Source organism: Homo sapiens, chromosome 5, assembly GCF_000001405.40.
Source record: "Homo sapiens chromosome 5, GRCh38.p14 Primary Assembly".
In the NCBI taxonomy this organism is placed as follows: Eukaryota; Metazoa; Chordata; class Mammalia; order Primates; family Hominidae; genus Homo; species Homo sapiens.
This window is the reverse complement of record NC_000005.10, coordinates 153,342,841-153,365,041: the sequence shown is the minus strand read 5'-3', so window position 1 is coordinate 153,365,041 and position 22,201 is coordinate 153,342,841. Positions and strand designations below refer to the sequence as shown.

At 40.0% G+C, this 22,201-nt stretch overlaps 3 annotated features.

Annotated features, from left to right (window-relative positions):
* Positions 11,742-12,941: an enhancer, noted in NCBI's record as "BRD4-independent group 4 enhancer chr5:152731661-152732860 (GRCh37/hg19 assembly coordinates)". NCBI's record gives its function as "activates an origin of replication core promoter dependent on BRD2, P300/CBP, MED14 and CDK7 cofactors, and independent of BRD4, by STARR-seq in HCT116 cells {active_cell/tissue: HCT116}" and the evidence as "EXISTENCE:reporter gene assay evidence [ECO:0000049][PMID:35650434]".
* Positions 13,714-14,480: an enhancer, noted in NCBI's record as "OCT4-NANOG-H3K4me1 hESC enhancer chr5:152730122-152730888 (GRCh37/hg19 assembly coordinates)". NCBI's record gives its function as "activates a minimal SCP1, AML or CMV promoter by ChIP-STARR-seq in naive H9 embryonic stem cells {active_cell/tissue: H9 hESC(naive)}" and the evidence as "EXISTENCE:reporter gene assay evidence [ECO:0000049][PMID:30033119]".
* Positions 14,481-15,248: an enhancer, noted in NCBI's record as "OCT4-NANOG-H3K4me1 hESC enhancer chr5:152729354-152730121 (GRCh37/hg19 assembly coordinates)". NCBI's record gives its function as "activates a minimal SCP1, AML or CMV promoter by ChIP-STARR-seq in naive H9 embryonic stem cells {active_cell/tissue: H9 hESC(naive)}" and the evidence as "EXISTENCE:reporter gene assay evidence [ECO:0000049][PMID:30033119]".

The window sequence follows — 22,201 nt, the reverse complement described above, 5'->3', positions numbered from 1 at the left end:
AATGAAAAGTCTCTGTTGAATTAAGGGAGGCATGAATCATCAAGTCTGTTTTGTAGGTGGGAAGACAGACTTAGGCCAAGGTCTAGGATACAGCACCTCAGATTTGTAGCCTGGAGTATTTTTTACTATAGCAAAATCCGAAAACATGTCAATAAGGCCATCCAGCTGGTCTTAGGTTGATCTCCATGAAGAGCCGCTTAATTGCCCTTTGCTGGTTTTAGCCTGCCCCACCTGTTCCCCAACCCTCATCCTGAGTTTTTCTACAAGCATATTCCTGGTGCTTAGGGAGGGTCAGGAAAATGTGTAGCCGTTTCACTGGGTTGTGTATCTGCTCGTGGGAAAGATTCAGATAATGGTGATAAGTCAGTAATTGTATCTGGGATCTTGAACCAATCTACACCCCTTCAAGTTTTCTCAGTGAATTGCCTGTTTGTCTAATTCCTACTCAGTCTTTCAGATCCAGCTCAAACAGCACCTCCTCTGTGAGGCCCTCCCTGGGTCTCCTATTAATTTAATGGCATTTAATAGCCAGCCTTTTCTGTTTCGAAAGAAACCAATTCATACATCCAGTAGAGCAGCTGTCACATTGCATTGTATAATTACCTGCACCCTCCCAGCCTGGCTATTCTATTTGCAAATGGACTGATAGAATCATATAAGCAGAAAGGGGTATTAACTCATCTCTCATTCTCACTATTTCAGGTCTCCCAGCTGCCTGCAAAATTCTTCTTCAGTCTTGAAAACCCCATTGGGGTGGTGCATTTTCCTTGTACTCATGAATGAGTTCAGTTAGGTTTCACCTGAGAGGTGCCATCCGCTTACTCTGTGGCTCTGCCCTGCTTTGGTCATCTCGCTTGGGGTCCACACTTTCTGTGATACTATGTGAAGCTATTTCCCCTCTGACTGTAGAGGCTTGTTGCGGGTTGGGTTGTCTGGGAAGTAGATGATGAGACGAAGTTGGAGGTGTCAGAGGTTCATTGGGAGTAAGACTGTGAAAAAGGACAGATACAGGAGAGGGCAGGAAGAGATACTAGGCTGTGATGCTGACCTGATGACAGTTTCTGTCAGTCCAAAGGGGAATTTGGGAGCAAAGATTGCCTATCAGAGGAGTCACATTGTTCAGAAATGGCCAGGCTTGTACCATTATTGCTCAGTCATTGGCTGGGGGCCACCCCAAGAAGAGCATAACCTTAGTTTGAAAACGGGAGCAGACCCTTATGGCTTTTGACACACTACGTTCCTCAGAGCTAGGAGTGAGTCTCTTTTGAAAGGAGGTCTGAGTAGCTAGCATACCTCCATGTCTGCCACATCAGCAGTGTGCTAGAGCCAGTTCATATTGGAGCTGATTGTTACATTTCTAGGAATTTTGTAAGGGGATTGTTAAGCATAGTCATTATTTAAATTAAAATAATATACTCACAAATCAATATACTAAACATAAAGATACAAATACTTGAAAGTCATCATTGCCTAATTACTTTGCTACGTTTTACTATTATCTATGCCCCTGAGGTTATATATGTTGGTTGTTTCTCCGTGACAATATTAAACTGTAGAGTAGTGTGCAGTGCATTGCACTCCCTATTTTACATCCAGTGACATCACATTGGTAGCTTGAAATTGGCAATGCTGGGAGTAAATTCATCATGGAAACTGGCAAACTCTACAAATCAGGGCTTGATTTATTGTTTCATTGATTGTCTTGACTTAAAATGATAAAGAAAATGTCAATAATGAAGATTATAAGTGTATCATGTATATAGTCATTACATGGTGAATAAAATTTAACAATTTGAGGAAATATTCTTCTAATATTCAAAAACTATGATCCAATTCATTAAAGAAACAGTTATTAACAAATGAGTGAAGTTCTTACTCTTAAGGTTTTTTCTTGCTTGTTTCACTTTCATTTTACTCATTAGCATAAGGAAAATAACAACTAATATTCAGCTCAGAACTGCAGTCATTTGTCAACTACAATCATAAGTTGGTTACGGAAACAACAGTTCCACAAAAATCAAACAAATGCATTTTGTGAGGATTAACTGGCTATATAGAATTTATTGTAAAGAATATTGTATTTTTTTATTAATTATAAATTGTATGATGCATTCTTAATATATATATAACACTTTTATTGAACTTATGTTTTCCATATACACATACAAATTTTCTTTTCCAGAAGAGCCAGTTGTTACACATTTACCAACACAGCACGGCTCATAGGCCTTTTCCCAAGTCACTGCAGCAGTCTCTGTGGTGTACCTTACCTTAGGTGCTCCAGCTCCCAGGAGGTGCCCAAGGGCTGTAATCACTGATTCTCTGGATGTGCTGGACCAAGTAATGGCTCAGATGGAGAGGGCTTCTACAAGACTTCAGTGACATGGGAATAAAGGAAATACTGCCTGTGCCTCAAAGGCTTAGAGTTTTAGTGAACACTCTTCTTTCAGTTTTGACTCACACCATTTCCCCACTCCCTTCCTAGGGACTCAGGCATGGGTCCACGGTGGGCTGGATGAGAACACAAAGTTGGTGGAGGATGCGCATTATGTTAAGAATTGCCCACTCCCCTCTACTCACTGGGGCTTGATTTGTTGTTTAACTGAATGTCTCTTTCCCAGGAGACTTCTCAGTAGTTTAAGATATCCCAATGATTTTAAGTAATTAATTTGTCAGATCAGTTCCAACCTTCTTTGAGCCTTGCTGTGGCCGTAGCTTAGGACCAGCTGGGCTTCCCTCCCTTCACATGTCTAAGCATCTAATGATAATATGACATTCCCAAGGAGAATGAGCTCACCATGCCATTTCCAGCACCCACATGTGGCCTAGGGGGCAGTGGGCAAATTGTTGTCTGATGAATGAATGCTGTGCAGCAGATGAGGGGAACATAGCAGGTGTATTAGCTTCCAATCATGGAATTTTCATTAGTCCATAGCAAGGCACATACTTTCCTATCACCAAGAAGATCTTTTTATCTGGGCAACATTACATGCAAGAAATGGCTGTAATTGAGTCGGAGGTTTAATGGGCTCCATCCTGATTGTGGGGCATAAGAGTGAGAGCAACGTGAGTCTTTCTGTTTGCTCCCTCCTAGGTGATTTATGGTCCCTGAGTCCCATTTAAATGCCTTTCAGTCTCATTTTTTAAGCTGCTATGCCCTCTGCCTGGAAACAGTGAGGCTATTTTGCTCTAACATTTAAAAATCCACCTGGCCCTTCCTGTGAGTATAGGTCCTCATGCCTTGGCCTGGCTTTCATGATATCTTTTGTAATATTTTATAAGGCCTTGGTCTCAATGGGCCCCTGTCATATCCCTCCCATTAACATGAGTCACAGGTTGACCCAGATGTCCTCAGATGGGGGAGGCAAACATCTCGGAAGCTGTTTGGATTATCACTCTTTCAGGTGTTACCAAGGGCTGGCAAGATCACCTTTAAGATGCAAGTGCTATGGGTATCAAACTCCCTAAAGTGAAATAGTCCCCATATCTTTTCCAAATTCAGAAAAGCACCATTGTACACAGGTGAAATCCCAATTTGTTTTTCATAGCTTTCACAGAAATGATCATTTTGATCTTGATTTTCTCAAAAATAAATAATAGATTTAACTCCTATTCTGAACCAGCCATTATACTAGAACATTTCAGTAAATTGGTGAGCAAAATAGATGTGATTCTTGCCTTTGTGGGATTTATAATCCAACAAGAAAAAGGGACTAAAGTAAAATGAGTTTAATAAATGAAAAACAGAGTGAGTTCAGAGAGTGTTGGCCTAGCCTAGTCCTAGGGCTTAGAGAAGGAACATACATCTACCCGAACATCCTGAAAGTAGGTAGAATTCAGCTACAATAATTATGACAAAAACTCATACAGCCCTTTCTATGTTCATTGTTGATATCTGCCTTGCTTTATACTCATTTAAGCTTCAGCCACATGAGATTACAATACAATGGAAACAGAATCTCAAGAACTTGCTAAAGGTCACACAGGAGGTAAGTCTCAGAACCAGGTTTCAACATAGCAATTTGGTTTCATAATCCTTGTTCTTAATGACTGTCTTAAGCCTGCCTCTCTGGTGCATAAAAATCAATTATTATTCTTTGAATAAATGAATGAAGAAATGAATACAGAGAGAGAAACATTGCAGGCAGAGAAATCAATCAGTGTAGATTCCCTGTGGCCAGAGAGGGCTGGATGCTTTGTATCACCTGGAAGACAGTCAGTGTGGCTGGAGCTTGGTGAGCAGAGGACACTTAGTGGTGGTCTTTTTCAAGGACACTCAGATTTGACTTTTTCAAATATCACTTGGGTTGCAATGCAATAAGTGGATTGCAATGCAAGAGAGGATGTTGGAAGAATAGCTAGGGGCTACTGCAATAGTCCTGGTGAAAGATGAAAGGATCAGAGTGATGGCCGTGGAGGAGAAGAAAAATGGAAGGGTTAGAGCTATAATTAGAAGGCAAAATTGGCAACACTCTCTCCTCAAGCCAGATGTGTTCCCACGGCACACCATGTCTGCTCCTTTGCCCATGTTGTTTCTGGCACCTAGAATGCCCTTTTCCTCTTTCTGCCTATCTGAACTCCTTCTTTTTTGATGACCCCAGCCCAGGACTGCTTTAGTAATTACTTCAGTTCTGTCTACATGAAGCTGATCTTTGCATTTTTAGTTACCATTGTATCTGAATCCATCATATCTCCCCAATTAGATAAAATTTCTTGAGTGTCAGGCAAGCTACTGAACCATATGTTCCTCTGTAGTTCCACAGCTGCTCTCACTCTGCTTCATAGTTAGCGGACGCAGTGTGGTTGGAGAGAAAACTGCTGTATTGTACAGAACACTAGACTAAGAGTCAGAAGTACTGTCCTCACTAACTGTATAATCAAATAACAAGTAATTTTTCTGTACTTCTGTGTTTTCATCTGTGAAATGGGTACAATTTCCTCCATGGTAACTTACTTCCAAGGAGTTGAGGATTGTTATGAGTGTCCAATAAGATAGGACATGTGAAAGGTCTTTTTATTAATAAAAGATTGCTTTACAACTTTGTGGGGTTATGAATTATATAATTGTATAAGAAAGTAGATTTGAGAAGAACTCAAATTGAATATGCTTAAAGAAAATACGGGCTTTACAAGAAGAATACTGGTATATCTATATCACACAATCAAAGAAGGCAACTTTGCACCCTCAGTGACTGGAAACAGGGGCTGAAATGCCAACAACATTCTCTCTCATATTCTATCTCTCCCTCTCTTCTCCCCCTCCCTTCCCTTTCTCTGCCTCTCATTCTCTTCATGCTCTTATTCTCTCTCTCTGTTTCTTTTCCATTGGTTGTCTTTATATGACCCTGAACCTCTTTTCTCTGCCCTTCTATGTTGGCTGTATTCTCTATATTGTCTGTATTGTCTATATTGCAGATGGCCCTTTTTCTCACAACAAAGTATATGGCCACAGGAAATACTGGGCTTATATCACTTTATTTTAAGAGATGAGAAGAAAAAAGACCTTTTATGTAGCCTTCACTTGGACAACTCCCAAAAGACTGATCTTGTGTAGTGGGCCCATCCTGAACCAAGGACCGTAACCAGGAAATGAGGCTACAATAGTAGGCATTTTTTTTTTACTGCCTGTTTCTATGACCAAATATACCTTTGGTCATAGAAATTCTGGGTTTCAGCCCAAACTATAACTTTATGGTTGGAATCCCCAAAGGAATAGGATTTATTTTAACAGAGTGAGGGGGGAGTGATGATAGACACACAAAACCACTCATGTACACTACGATGCATAATAAGAAATGTTCATGGCATTGACTTGAGTAGGCAAAGCTGTTGGCATGCTAGAAAGGAAGCAAGATGCTATGTTAAACATAAGACGTATACCACTAAACTAAGTCACCTTGCACAGATGATATGCTCAGAGCAGATAAGAAGAGATGACCTACAAATTTCATCCAAAGACACCTGGATTGATAGCAACTCACAACAAAAGATGGAATTTTGTCAAAGGGAATCAAAACAGATTGAAACATGTAAAGTGGTGAGGGGTAGCATGTTAGAAAATGACAAAAAAAAAAAAAAAACACAAATCAACACATGCAAGGTGAAAGACTATTAATGTCCTTCCCCTGATGGAGAGGGATTCTAATTACAAACAGAAGTTAGTTGATTGTGTGCAGATTTTATTCATTATCAGATCTGATTAGGCAAATTTTGACAAATGAGAAGTAGTTGTAAATTGCCCAGTGACAGGCTCAGTGTTGCTAGGTAACAAAGCAACACGATTCCCAATAGAACCAAAGAAAAGAGAGGAATTGCGGGAAAAAAATATCCTGACCTCCCTTTTTATCATTTTGGGAAATTTCTCCAGTGTACTACATTTTTAGGATTTCTACCTAGGTTCTCACATCTCATTCAAAGTGAAATATCAGCTTAGTTTCAGTTTTATGACTTTCTCTTTTGAGAAAGAGAAACTAGTCACTTTCTCTTTTGAGAAAGAGAAACTAGTCACTTTCTCTTTTGAGAAAGAGAAACTAGTCTCTTTCTCAACCTAGGTCAAGTGAATGGGGAATGAGCAGACTAAGAAAATGACATAATAGCTGTCTTCAAATATGTTAATTCAATTTATCGAACATTCAGCTAGTTGCTCCTATGTGGAGGGCATAGTTCTAGACACTGCAAGGTGTATTATACATAACAGCACCTGCTTTTGCAGTGCATGGGACACATAAACACCTACAAGGTTATATGAGAAGTATGGCCCACCTGACACATACCCAGGGGAGGATGGATATGTAAGAAATGATGGAAAGGAACATGAATGTTCAACTCAGAAGAAAAGGCTTTAGAAGGAAGCTAGAGCCCAAACTACTTTCAAATATAGAGGCAAATCTTATGGATGATGAAGAAACTTTGTTCTTTATGGCCCCATGGGAAACACCGCTATTAATGAGTGAAAGCTTCAAGAAGGGTATCTCAGTTCCAGAGGGAGGGACTGGCAACTAAAGGTGTCTGTAAGTGGAGTAAGCTTTCTTGTAAAGTTAGGTTTCCACTCATTAGTGGCTACCTGTCATCAAGGACCCTCTCCTGCTGTTTTAGTTTCTCCTTTCCTGGTCATTGCCATTGCAATAAATTGCACTGTCATCATCTCTTACCAGGACAAACATATTAGGTTTTCAGTTGTTCCCCCTATTTCTACTCTTACCTTTGCAATCCATTCTTCACACAGCAGCCAAATTAATTTTTAAAATGTAAATCAGATCTTGCCAGTGCTCTGCTTAATAACCTTCAGTACCTTCCCATTGCTCCTTGTATTAATCAGCTATTGGGGCAATAATGTTGCGTAACAAACTACCCCATAGTTCAGCGACTTAAAGTGACATCCATTTCTTCTCACTCACATGCTTGTGAGTTGGATGAGTAGTTCTGCAGATCTTGATTGGACTAAACTGGGCTTGGTTCCAGGCTGTAGGTTTGGTTCAGGTCTGCTTGGCATGTCTCTCCTTCTTTTGGGGCCAGTGGGCCACCTCAAGTGTATTCTTCTCATGGCAATGGCAGAAGCCCAAGAGCAAATCCAATTGCACAAGCACATTTCAAAGTCCTGTGTTGTGTCATGTCTGCCAACAGGCCATTGGCCCAAGGAGGTCACATGGCTAAGCCCAAATTCAAGAGGCTCTCTCTTCTTCCCACCATGGGGTTCTCTCAAGGGTATGATTTTTTTATGAGTTATTTGTAGATGGAGCAAATAATTTTGAGCACTATTTCCATCTACCACACAGAATAGCATCCAAACTCTTTATCATAGTCTCAAGACCCTAGCTAATTTGGCTCTTGACTACTCCAATTGTCATCTGGTGCCATTTTCTGCCTCTTCCACAGCATTCTAGACATGCTGATCTTCTTTCTCTTCATCAAATATACCAAGTTCATTCCTGCCCTAGAATCTTGAATCTGCTTTCCTCCTCCCTAGTCCAGATCTAATTAGGGCTGGCTCTTGCTGTCTTTCTACTTACATTTTACTTCCATGAAAGGCCTGGCTGTCAACTTAGAGACATCTTCCTTGCCTCATCTATTCCTTATTGCCTCAACTTGTTTTTTTTTTTTTTTCAAGGCATTTATCTCTGCCCAATACATTGTTGTTTATGCATGTGCTGGTTAGATAATTGTCTGCCTTCTGCACTGAAAAGTAAATTCCATGAGATAAAGCACCTTGTTTATCTTATTCAATTTTGCATCCTTAGTATCTAGAATAATGATTGGCACCTAGCTTTTGAATGATAAGAATATATATACACAGAAATTTTTCTCAGGAAATATCTCCCAAAACAGAGTAAATAAGTACTCAATATGACAACATTTATGCTCCCTTCCACAATTTTTTCTATTTATTTACTTTCATTGCAAGAAAAAAAAATCATAGGAAAATGAATAGACCAAAGGATCATTAAATCACCAGAAAGTACCACTAGGAAAGAGTTAGTGTATATCCTTCCAAACTTTTTTCTGTGTAAATATATGCATATGAAATTATTTTTATTTGCCTCATACTGCTTTTACTTCATGTTTGTCCTATTTTTATATCAATAATCACGAATTTACATAATTTATTGACAGAATACTATTTCTTGCACAGCTGGGTATGAACATTTTTGTGTTTTAAGCTTTGCACACATATCTCATTGGTTTCTTGGAATAAATGCTAGAAGTGGAATTGCTGGCTCAAACGGCCTTTGGCATCATTGAAGCCTTTTGGAGCACAAAGCCAAACGATCAAGGTTTACCAATTTATACTCTCACAAACAGTGTATGAGAATGCTACAACTATGTTATTTATTTAACATCCCACTGGTCACCTTTAGTCTAATTCAAAGAAAACTGAAGTCAGCATTGCCAATGTGCCTGATGTTTTTTTGGGCTCCGAAGGTCTGCAGTGCCTTGTAGCACACTTTGGGAATTGTTGTTTTAGGTCAAAGTTTCTTTTCCACGGACCTCCAAAGCATCTTAGGTAGAATTTCAGAGGCCCATGAACTGAAATGGCAACAATATTACAGCTTTAATTTTATTCATCTCTAACTGAAATTTAGATTTCCTTCAATTATGAATATAAACAATAGGCCTTAGTACCACTGGCAGTATTCTACCAATAGAAATCACAGATATTTTTATATCATATTGCAGTTATCTCAACTTTTTTTTATGTTCAGAGCTACTTTGAAATGAATGACAAGTTCAGTAGTATGTCTATAACTACACACTGGTAGTATGCCTATAGACATACCAGTATGTCATAGCAGTGTGTCTATGTCTATGAATATACTACCAGTATGTAGTTATAGACAAACTACTAAACCTTGTTACTGAACTCATTAATAAGGCAGTACACATATTACCATTTTCAAATTTATTATTTTTAAGATTTACATCTATATTTCAATATATTTGATTTCCATTGTAATCATGTCTTTTAATTAAAGTGTTAGGAACATTGCTATGAGAATGGGTCCATGGCTTCATCATCCTGCCAAACTCATCCATAGCACAACAAAATTTAATGATACCTACCATGGGGCTGGTGTTGGTTGGCTTGGAGACTTGATCTACAGTCAGGTCTAGGGCTGCCTGGATATTGGGATAGGTGAGTTGCTTGGGGAAAAGCCAGCTGCTGGCTGTGGGGAAGATGTAACAGGAGGGGGTCAGCAGAACCAGCAGACCAGGGTCAGGGAAGCACAGCCAAAGCTACAGCAAGAAGTAAGGCTCTAGGCAGGGGTTTCAAAGTGGTGACTCTGAAGCAAAATTCAGCAAATGTATCTTGCTTGGTCTCCACATATTTTTTATGTGGAACTTGAATGTCATCAATGGGGAAAGTACTCTATTTCTCTACGGTACCTAATATCATCTTTCATTTTACTTTTAGCTTCCTTCATTAATTTGCACTATGCCCTATGCCCTGCCCTGTAGGCACTTGAGTTTGCAAGCTCTGAGAGAAGTTAGCAAAAAGAGTTTGTTGGAGAATACAGTGAGTCACTATGGTGAGACCCTATGTATTAATTCATCTCCCCATGGATTAAAATCTCCACAAAGGTAGCAATTCCGTCGTGTAAAATGTTGTAGCACTGGTGCCTTGCATCCCAAAAGCACTCCATAAATGTCTGGCAACAGCTTGAAGGGCCAGGGCCAAATCTCCAGTATCCACATGACAGGAACACCCAGTACCTGGAGTGCTGAGGCCCCAGGCATAGAAACAAAGGGGAAGGAATTAGGAACCAGGAAAAAAGTCTAAGCCAATTCTCCACTTCCAGAAAATTCAGACACTGAGTTGGAAGTTTGCAGGTACAAGTTCAATAAAGGAAACAAACCCATGTATAACAGAATTGGCTACCTTCCTTGTCGTTAATTTCCCCACTTGAAAATATTGGTTTCAGAGCTTGGGGTAAGATGGAACTTGCATGTCGGGGCAAGAAATGGAAGGAAGGAGCGAGGCAGAGGTGATGTTCCATGATATCAGAGAGGCCTTGTTTGGTTAGAGTTTATCCTATTGAAAGTATACATACCTATCTGTAGCTGTTGAATAAATGGCTGCAATGCACTAAGCACTATCCTTCCACGGCTCCTGTGTGTTGTCTTCTGCTATATCGGGGATCACAAAAATCACATGCCCACAGGCCAGTTAGGGCAGACACAGGAGAGGTGGTGTTGCCTGTGTCAAAATGTCCTTGCCCAGTGGCAAAGGGAACAGCAGCCACTCAGCTTTAGCCAGTTGATATCATAAAGGGCCTATTGAAAAAAAAAATCAGATTTTTCACAGTTAGGTGTAATTTATAAAAACATTAAATCTCCCTACTTTAAAACAAATCACTTCTACAGGTTGTATATGTCATCACAGCCATTACATTTCAGTATTTGCCCAAATAAATGGTGAGGTGAGGGAGGTACTTCCCTTGGGTGTAAAATTTAGGTGGCACCAAAAAAACTCCTCAAGATAATCAAGATAAATAATATTGTGAAGCAGTATTTAAAGCAAATAATCAGTAATGGTGCCAGGTTGAGCCCTACTGAAGCCTGAGAAATAAGAAAAAAAAAAAATCAATGATACAGATCTGTCTTTATTTAAAATTGATATTTTCTTCATCATGGATTTTTTGGCATTAAATTTGATGGTTTTAAACTATTGTGTTAGAATATTATTTATCTGATGACTGGGCTTTTTGGCACCCCTCACATTTGTAGCCCAGTGCCTCCCACTCTCTTGACACTTGTCTGTTCTCTGCTCTGTTCATTTCCTCCACCTGTGAATTAAGGGGCTCCCTAAACCTGTCTAGTGACCAAAATGGCCCAGGGGGCTTCAGAAAATTACAAATTCCCACGTGTGACCCCAGGAGAGTCTGACTCATGAAGCCTGGGTGGGTTCTGGGGAAAGATCAGTGTCCACAGGGAATAGGTAATTGTGCTAATTGGTTCAGTTTGAGAAAAAGTTAGATCATTTTTAAGCTCCTTGCAGCTTTAATGTCATGGGATTTTACCTTATGTTCCTTTGCTTTTTAATTGTAAATACCCCTGGGATCATAGTCCATTAAATCAGTAACACTTTCATGTGAATTTATTTAATAGCTTATTTTTCTCTTGATAGGAAAGACCCTGGACACAAGTCCTGGGGGGAGGGGGCTAATGGAGGGAGAGTGGAGCTCAGGAAAGAGCTCCCCCGACAAAGAGGTTTCACTGATTTGAGGGGACCAGGAAGGCATCTTAGTTCAACTACGAACAACATGAAATTGCTTTTAATCAATCTGAAAATAAATGGAAGTGCATGCCGAAGCACCCTCTCTTTGAGGAGATGTCAGGAACACTTTCAATCTTTTATCTTCCCGAAAACAGCAGGAGGAACACCACTGGAATCAGCCCTGTAATTTCTACTCAGTAATTATACCTGTCACCACTTCCGACAGAGCAGATATAAATAGCCAGTTATCTTACTTTTCTGCTTTTCTTTGTATTATTCTTTCTCCAACCACAGACTTCAGTGCCTGATGGTAAAACCCATACAGGACACAAAGCATTCACAGAAAGTGCACTGCTAGACATTCGACCAGTGTTCCAAAAAGCCACATGCGATAGATTGAGAGAATCTCATTTGCCCACAGAAATGTGGTCTCTAAGATTGATGACAGGTGACAGGGAGAGATAGGCACCAAGGGAAGGGGTCTTGCTTTCCGTTTCTATTTTCATTTCACTCCCGGTAGGGATGCGCACGTGTGTGCGTGCCTGCTGCTCTGCGTGTGTTATTACACCCACGTACCTGGGCTCCTCTGTGCCTGAGTGACTCACTGGGAGGAAGTCAGGGCTTCTGGGAGGTGGATTAACCCTTTCAGAAGGGTCCCCAAAAAGCCATGTCAGGATATCACCATTCTCAGGCCGAGCACAATAGGAACATGCCCGAACATATTCATTATGATGGCGGTTATTACTATTGCTATTAATAAAACTGTCACACAGTCACATAGTACTTTGACTTGTTTTGCAAAGGGATTTGACATAAATTATTTTGGAAACTCCCACCAGAAGAAATGTGCTATAGTTGAAAGAAGATGGGTTTTGAAGTCAGGTACTCCAGAACTCAAATCCTGCCTTTTCTACTTGCTTATTGTGTTGAATAGAGGTGAAATCACTTTTCTGAGTCTCAGTCTTGAAATCTGTGAGATAGTAATAATAATGATGATAATGTTTACCTTGGAGAATTTCTCTTGGAGGATTATATAGAATAGCATATGTAAAAACCTGCCACTATCTGTTAGAATAGTTCTCAGACTTTAGCATCCTTAAACTCACCCAGAGGACTTGTGAAAATACAGAATTCTGGGCCCCATCCCGGCATTTCTGATTTGGTAGGTCTATGGTAGGGCCTGATAATTTGCATTTCTAACTAGTTAGCAAATGCCACTGCTGCTACTGGTCCAGGAACCACACTTTGAAAACCACTGATTAGTAATCAGTACATGTTAGGCTTTGCTGTTTTATGAATTTAATAAAAACTAATTATTAAGTGCCCTCCACATACCAGTACCAGGCACTGTGCTTGATACAAAGCAGTGCCAGACAGATATGACTTTTCCCTTACAAAACATGCTCTAATGAGTAACACAAGTCTCTCCCCTGTCCCACTGCACTACTACCATCAAAATGAAATAAAATGGCATATTTCAGGAAGAGGAAGGCAGTCAGGGGTGAGTGATATGAGCTAGGTTGGAGAGCGGGGCATGTGAAATGCTGACACCCACCACACTGATAATAGTCTCGCTGTAGATTGCATGAACTATGTTCAGATGACTGCCCAGAGATGGAGCCAGGTTTTGTGGGTTCTGGAGCTTACATGTTTTGGAGATCCACTTTAAGAAAAATGGGACCAGGCACGATGGCTCCCGCCTGTAATCCCAACATTTTGGGAGGCCAAGGTGGGCAGATCACCTGAGGTCGGGAGTTCGAGACCAGCCTGACCAACATGGAGAAACCCCGTCTCTATTAAAAATACAAAATTAGCCGGGCATGGTAGCGCATGCCTATAATCCCAGCTACTTGGAAGGCTGAGGCAGGAGAATTGCTTGAACCCAGGAGGTGGAGGTTGCAGTGAGACAAGTTCATGCCATTGCACTCTAGCCTGGGCAACAAAGTGAAACTCCAAAAAAAAAAAAAAAAAAAAAGAAAGAAGAAGAAAGAAAGAAAAACAGGTACAAAATTATGAGTACAAAATTAGGAAAAGAGCAGTGGACAGGGCCCATATAAGAGAGGGGCCCTGAAACTTTAATAAGTCTCATTAGCTTCTTGTAAGTCCTCCTTCACCTGTATCTTAACATGTATGTGCAATCAGGGTCACTGATAGCAAGAAGTCTACAGCATAGCTGGCAAGATGGATCTGTCATGCCTGACCTAGAGCTGGTAGCATCTGCAAAGAGTTAAAGCAGTGAAGCAGGAGGCCAGAGAGGTGCTGGGCAAAGGGACCTTAGCTATCTTAAGTAGGTGGGTGGGTGCTACTGGCATCTGATAGGCAGAGGTCCGAGACGTTGCTAAACATCCTATGGTGCACAGAAACAAGCCCCCACAACAAAGAATTATCTACCCCAAATGTCAATAGTAACAATGTTGAGAAATCCTATTATAGGGCAGGAATGTTCTCCAGGTAGGAGACGCAGTAGGAGATGACTAAAACTTGACTGTATTGAGAGAGACCTCTACTTTCCCTTACTGTGGAGCCCTGGTTTCTCCCTGCTCTGTCTGGATCCCTCTCCTTCAGATACCTGCATAGTAGTTAGGTCTCCCCACTCCTTCATGGTCTCCTTCGGTTCTCCCTCATTGTAGTCAGGTCTCTGCTCAGGGGTCACCTCCTGGGATGTCTTCCCTGACCACACCCACTCAGTCTAAACTGGCCCCCAGCTCTTTCTATGCCTCCTAATCACTTTCTCTGCCTTAGTTTTCTAAGCTCTTGATACCTGACATCATGACGTTCCTTTTTCAAATGTAAGTCTCATCAAGGCTTGTGTTATCTATTTCTCTAACCTCAGAACCTGGTAGCTTGTGTGGCACACAGTGGGTGCTTAATATGTGTTAAATGGATGTAAAAAGGTTTTATTGACATGCTAGTGTTGTTGAATAACAACCTATTGATGCAGCCTATTGTTATTAACATTGTAAATGGGGTTATTGTGTCCTACTTAGACTGCTACATGATACCGACCAGAGGATTCTCATTATTTCAGCCTTTGTGTGGAGACAGCGGATACTCCCTGAGCCCTGTGGCTTGGCAGCAGCCTCACATTTTTCAGTGTCTGCTTTGAGAATAAAGCTGATGGGCTCTGAAGGGACTGCCCTCCATCACTCAGTCCTTCCATCACCCGCTCCGCAAATGACAACCTCTGACGGGAAAGTATGGGGAGCCAATTTGGAATTAATGCCCTGCATCTGGAGGGAGACTGTTTAAGACAGCAAATATTCAGGAAGCAAATCCAGACTGTTGGATGAACGACAGGGAGAGAAATTCAGATGCCCTGCCTGAGCACAACTTTACACCTTGACAACTGCTTTGGGTAAGGCACTTGAGTCAATGCAACTTGAATTTGTTTTTGTTTGTTTTTTTAATTGGTAGAAGGGAGAACCCCGAGAACAGAAAATTGCCTGAATAACCCATTTAGACATGATCCTGAGCAAAGGGTGAAATAAACAAAGAATGGAATCAATGTCATTTATTCCACAAACATTTACTGAGTGCTTATCATATGCCAGGTCTTGTATAGAAAGTGTTATTGTCATTTTCAGGAATAAGAAAAACGAGGCCCAGAGAAACATAATAACTTGCCCAAGGAAAATCAACCGGTCAGTGGCTGCTCCTCACACATTCAAGCTCATTCTCCCTTCAGGACCTTTACATGTGCTGTGCCCTCTGCTTGATTCCTTCCTCTTCAGGTATGTGATTGGCTGCATCTTTCTGTCAGGATTAAGCACAGCTGTCACCCCCTCCCAGAGGCCCTCCTTGATCATGCTTTTTCAAAGTTGCCTCACCCTTCACTCTGTCGTATGACTTTGCTTTATTTATTTATTTATTTTTTTTTACCATTTCTATGACTACTTGAAATTATATACTTTAATGTCTCTCTCTATCTCTCATTCATTCTCCCCAAATAGAATGTCACCTCCATTGAAGCCGGGTCTTTACAGTTTTGTTCAGTTTCCAGCACCCACACTAGGACCAGCACGTAGGAATCGCTCAATAAATATTCCTTAATAAATAAATTGGCAGAGACAGACCTTAAACCAGATATATCTGAAACCGAATTTCCTATTCCTCAGTGCCAAGGGTCCTGCCTCTTGGAGAGTTTTGTTAATACCCTGATCCGACATTTAAGAGCTATAGAAACTTGTATGAGTCACTTTCTCTCTCTGGGCCTCAGTTTTCTCATCTGTGGAATGGGATGGGATCCAGAGTTCTCACTCTTCCCAACTCTAAGGGTTTCTCCAAGATACCTACAAATTAATGCTTCTGGTCATTTTTATTTTTAAATTTAATGTTATCTACTGTAAGGTATTAAAACATTACCTGATAAAGAATGTGTGTGGGCTTAGGTAGTTCTGAGGTCACATGTTGACTTTCCTACTTATCTATGTGATATTTGGAAAGTTTCTAAACTGCTTTGACATTAGCTTTCTCATCCACAAGATAGAAATAATGACACTTTAGAAGATGGTTGTGGAAATTAGATGAAGTGCCACAGAAAAGACAGAGAAATTCCTGGCATTTCGGAGACAGTTGACAAACGTGAGTTGCTTTTCTGCTTTAATACAATCAAGCTACAAAGACATGGTCAGTGTCAGAACCCTGAGGACTCACAGACAGGTATGCAGTGCAGGAATAAATATGAGGGAAAAGATCTAGGCAGAAGAGGAGAGTTAAAAATGTATTTAATAATAGTTATTAAGCACTAATTTAGTGTCCTGTCTTATGATCAATGAGATGCAATCTATAAATCTAATGAGATCGACATGTGGACAGACAGTGTTTTTGTATTCTTTCTTTTGTGTTACTACTTTCTTTTTTTCTTTCTCTCTGTCCCTTCCTTTCTCCTTTGTTCCCTTTGCAACCTCACAAAGTTTCTGTGGGTTGGGGATTGGAAGAATCTTAGATGGGCTGTTCTGGCTTTAGATTGTTCAAGAGGCTGCAGTTGTTTCAAAGCTTGATCTGGGTAGGATCTGTTTCCAAGAAGTAGCTAACTCACATGGCAGTTGGCAGATCTCAGAAAACCCACTTCCCAACTCATTCCTGTGGACTTTCTACAAGGTTGTCTTATGGCATGTCCACTGGCTTCCCCTGGAAGTAAGTGATCCAAGAGAGAACAAGAGAATCCAAGATGGAAAACACAGTGTTTTTGTAACCTAATATCAGAAGTGACATCCTATTACTTGTGTGTTAGTCTATGGTATTCTATTAATTAGAAGGTAGATTTTAAGTTCAGCCCACATTCCAGAGCAGAAGAGTCTGTCACATCTGATTTACAATTTTATTTGATAAAAGAATGCCCTTGCTTCAAACAAACAAATAGAAAATGTTTGAGAACTACTTTCCTAGATTATGGCCATGATCATCTTAGCCTAGAATAGTGGTTTTCAATCTTGGCAACCCACTGGAATTACTTAAGCTGTTTTAAAAAAAAATACTAGTGGCTGGGTCTCAACCCCAGAAATTCTTATTGAGTTGCTCTGTGATGTAGCCTGGAAATTGGGATTTTTTTCAAAAGCTCCCCCAGTTAATTCTAACGTGTAGCTAAGGCTGAGAGTCACTGGCCTAGAATATTTTCCAGGAAGTATTTCCCATAAACCAGTATAGCAATTTAAAAATACCTCAATAGTACACTTTAATAACAACAAACTTCAAATCATGTGACACCCTGGTGAACTCCCAGAGAAAAAATTAGTTGTGAAATGTAATAAAATAATCAAATAAATTGACCTGTTGTCAGAATTGTTAGTGCTGACCTAACTTGGCATTGTAGGGTGGCAGAAGGTGTCTGTCAAAAATGATTTTGGCTTCAAAGCAGTTGTGATTCAGAGCCACTTATCTTCTACAAATATTTGATAGCAGGGCTCATGGTGTATTGAGGACACTCCTGGCTCAGGAAAATAAACCTTCATCAGGAACGTTTTAGAAGGATGCTCTTCTGTCTATTCACTGTGGTGGGAGAACCTCCACCTAGCTTATCCAGGAGAGGTGTGAAGGCAAGAAAATACTGGTTTAAAAGACTAGGTCCCTGTTTTATCCGCACTTGAATCATTAGTTGATCCAACTAGAGATTTTTTTCTCTATCTGCTCCTACCTCTCTTTGTGGGTTTAAGGTGACCATTCTATAAAAATATAACTAATGAAGTGGGAAGAGAGAGGAAATATGAGGTCAAATAACACAGCTGAGTTTTTGAGAGTTGATTGTAAATGCGTGAATAATGCTTCTTAGCCAAAGGCAGCCAGAATGATGAAGGAGAGATTAAGAACTACAAATGGTAATGACTGCAGATACCATACATTAACTACAGAGACTGGATAATTACACTCAAGGGTCAGGATAGCAAAAGTGATATACATGCCTGCTTCGTGGATGCCCATTGCTGCCAGGAAAGATGTGGAATAAATGAGCACAAGTAGAACATGAATATTTTTCACATTAGAATTGCAATTACACTGAAAATAAAAGTTTAAAAGAATTATTAATTATCAGATATAGATTATAAAATACACTATCATGTTAATTACTACTACCACCACCACTGAACTGACTAGGGAACTCATCACTGTATTATAATCTATAAGTATTATCTTATTTAATGAGTATGATAGCTCCAAACTTACATATGAATGCTTCCATGTTGCTCACGAGGAAATTGAGGCATTGAGAGTCAATAACTTGTCCAAAGTCATCTAGCTAGAATGGGGTAGAGCCAGGACTTTAACTCAGGTCTGTTGAACTCCAAACATACACCCTTTAAATTTTATAAGATGTAATGAGGGAAGTAACGTGAGCTGTACAACTTCAGGAAAAATATATTTCTGTGGGCTAGGTTTGAGATAACATTTTGCCCATCCCTGTGACTTTGAATTCTTGAGTCAGTAGGATCTCAAGATTCTGACAGCCATGTTCTTCTGATCTCATGGTATCTCATGGCCCTTTGACTCTTGTTCACTGAGTGGAAGAATGAAAGAAACCAATGCTGTGTATGTCGTGTGTTATAGATCTCTTCACAGAGTAACAAAAGCATAACCATAGTAAAGAGTAGTTCTACGTCTAAAGCAGAGTCTGTTGACCTGAGAAACCCAAAACAACATATATTACAAAGGAAATCATCATGCATTTTAGATGGGCATTATTGTTTGCTAACGTGTTGCTTAGGACTTAAGGTAGAATAAAAAATGTACTGCAAATAGGTTCAAGTCATATCCAATGAGAAGACAGAACAGGGGAGGGAGTGATTCTAAATGGTCCAGAGTCAGCATAAAAGGTAGAATCATAGGAGTCTTCTAGAAGACAGACTCACTGGATCTGACATTTGAAGGATGTGTAGAATTTCTAGAAGCAGACAACAGGCAGTGATATGGTAGAGCTGGCTCATGAGAATGGAATGTGCATGTCTCTTCCCAACTCTTTGTCCAATGACATCTAATTGGTAGTTTGAAATTGGCCATAATGAGACTATTTACATCATGGAAATGGGCAAATATTACAAATCAGTACCAGCACACCACTAAAGATAAGTTAGAAGTCCCCTGTAGTTAGAGATGCTGGTGTGAGTGTACATTAGGAGAAATCAAGTGACATAAGATATCTAGAGGAAAATCAGGTTGGATGAAGCTGGCAAGGTGGAATTGAGCCAGACTGCAGGAGTCCTTGAATGCCAAGCCAAGGAATCTTGATTTTATTTTATTGGCACTGGACCCATCCAAAAATGTTTTGATATAATCCCATTTGTATTGTGGACTCATAATTCCAGTGCCAGAACCACAATTGGATTTAAAAAGTGAGGGATTGCAAATGGGAAACCACTTAGGAGGCTATAGTAGTAAATAGCATAATAAAAAGCTGATAGAGATTTGGACAGAGCAGTAATTTATATGAGAGAGAATGGAGTGGACAGAAATGACATGGATAAACACTTAGAAAACTTGACAAAAGATTGAATGAGAGTTATTGGGGTAATGTAGAGGGGTGTCAATATTACCAAAGTTACTTGCTTTGGGGACTGAGAGGTGATAGTGACATTTACAAAGATAGGAATAAAAGAGGGAAGAGTATGAGTGAGAGGTAAAACTGTCAGTTGTGGGCATGTGAAATTTGAAGATGTTTCGGTCATTAAGATATTCTAGTCTAGATCTCTAGAGAGAGGTCAGGAACAGAGATGGTAAAGGCCAACTGAATAACATTCTTTGTATTGAGGATTATAAAATTAAAGTAAAAGTTATGTTTTCTCCCTCGTGTAATTTGCAATCTGGGGGAGGGGATGTCATGATCCACCAACACAATAATTCAGATACTAAAAGGTAGGATAAAATAAATGCCAACACAATAGCATTAGTCAATAAGCACAAAAGGACTGAAGAAAGGGATTGATCAATGGGCTGAACAGTTTCCTTTTGCCTCTCCAGATTGATTTTCTGGCTTCTCCACTCTGCTATGTGGACAGGGAACCTGTAATGCCTGGGCCATGTCAATGAGCTCCTTGTTTTCTGGCTTACAGTGAGTTTGGCAAATGGAAGGTGTCAAGAGGAGATCCCAGGAGAGTGAGACTGGAATATTTATTCCTGTGACTCCCTTCATGCTAGGTCACTACAGATTGGCTGCATCCCTCACTACAGCACAGCTCCATACTGGTATATTTGGGGGTTCCAATAACTGCTCTCCCTTCTTACCCCTGAATGGGTAGAGCTATCAAAACTCGGACATGGACTTAGCCTTGAACTTCCATATCCTTCATTGCACAGATGCCTTCCAAACCCTGGAAGGGACCCTAGCAATGTGCTGATATGGTCATATGTTGCTTGGATACTTTGCTAAAATTAAGTCTTGTAGTAGGCAGGATTCTAAAAGTGATCCCCAAGATTTCCTGCCCGATTTCCCAGGACCTGTGACTATTATAAGATATGATGATGCTATGTTATATGGCACAGTTTATTTTAAGATAGGGAGATTATCTCGGTAGGCTTATCTAATCATATGAGCTCTTAGAAGTGGAGAGCTTCCTCCAACTGGGGGCAGAAGAGAAGGTCAGAGGAGTCTGAAGCATGAGCAAGACTGGATGTTCCATAGCTAGCTTGGAGATGGAGAGTGTTGAGAAATAATGCAAGCAACTTTAAAAAGGTAACAGAGGCTCCAAGTTGACAGCCATCAAGGAAAGGAAGCCCTTAGTCCTATAGCTGCAAGGAACTACATTCTGCCAACAAACTGAATAACTCAAAAGCAGATTTCTCCTAGAGCATCTAGGTGAGGACTCAGCCTGACATTGTGAGTTCAGTCTTCTCATGCCCTAAGCAGAGAACCCAGCCACATGGTACTGGGTTTCTGATTTACAGAACTGTGAGCTAATAAATAGATATTGTTTTAAGCTTCCAAGTTGGTGGTAATTTGTTAGGCAGCGACAGAAAACTAACAAAGATATTACAATTCATATTGAATAAGACTGATGTCTCCTTCTACTCTCACTTTTTTTTGTCATATTTCCCTTTGTATCTGATAATATGGAGTATTACTCCAATGGGAAATTGGAGGATCTGACTCAGAGGAACTTGCATTGGATATACTTAGTTACTTAGATACTAAATCTCAACCTGGCATATAATTTTACATGATTTGCAGTCACTTTAATGATCTACTCTACTAGTTCATCTGGCATCACCATACAGAAATGCATCACCAGAGGCTGAATTGCCATATGTCCTTCGGAGCCTGACCCAGAAGCACCTGGGTCCTAGTGGAGAAGTAACATTTGAAATATGCAGAGCCAGAAGCTAATCTGTGAAAATTTCTTCCAAATCTTTATAGGACACATGTGAAAACAAAAGTGGTAAATATTTTCCCAGCTTTCAAAATAATCCTGAACATTTATGTGACATTACCTAAAACAAGTTATAAAATTAAAGTTAATCATAAAAAGAAACTCAAAGTTTTCCCAATTTTGATGTCAATTTTTAAAATATGCATGACATTACCAACAACAACTTATGAAGCAAACCACTGTCATTTGAGGAGGTAATCAGAGTATGTAGCCAAAAATGTAGGGCAAAAGTGTTATAGTACTTCATTAGGCAATTAACATGTCTACATATGTTTTTAGATTTTATAGTATTTGTGGTAGTTTCATCTAAGTGTATGTTATTGTAATGTATTTTCTCATTTGAAAACATTCATTTGCATTATTAATTTTGTATTTGGAATTTTGTATCTTTTTTCTGAAACAGAAACGTAATATGAGTAAATGAATACACAATCAGGTCCCACAAACCCTGGACCTGCTCCATAAGTCTCCTCCTGTTACTAGTCTTGGGATACTACACTATATCTTGTTAGTGTCCCTGAACTTGCCTACAACTTGGTAAAAAGTGCTTTATTAAGTTTCCCTCAAAGTTCACCATGAAGTGTCCCATCTGTTTCTACATGGGACTCTTCCAGTTGATACCCTCAGGGTTGTT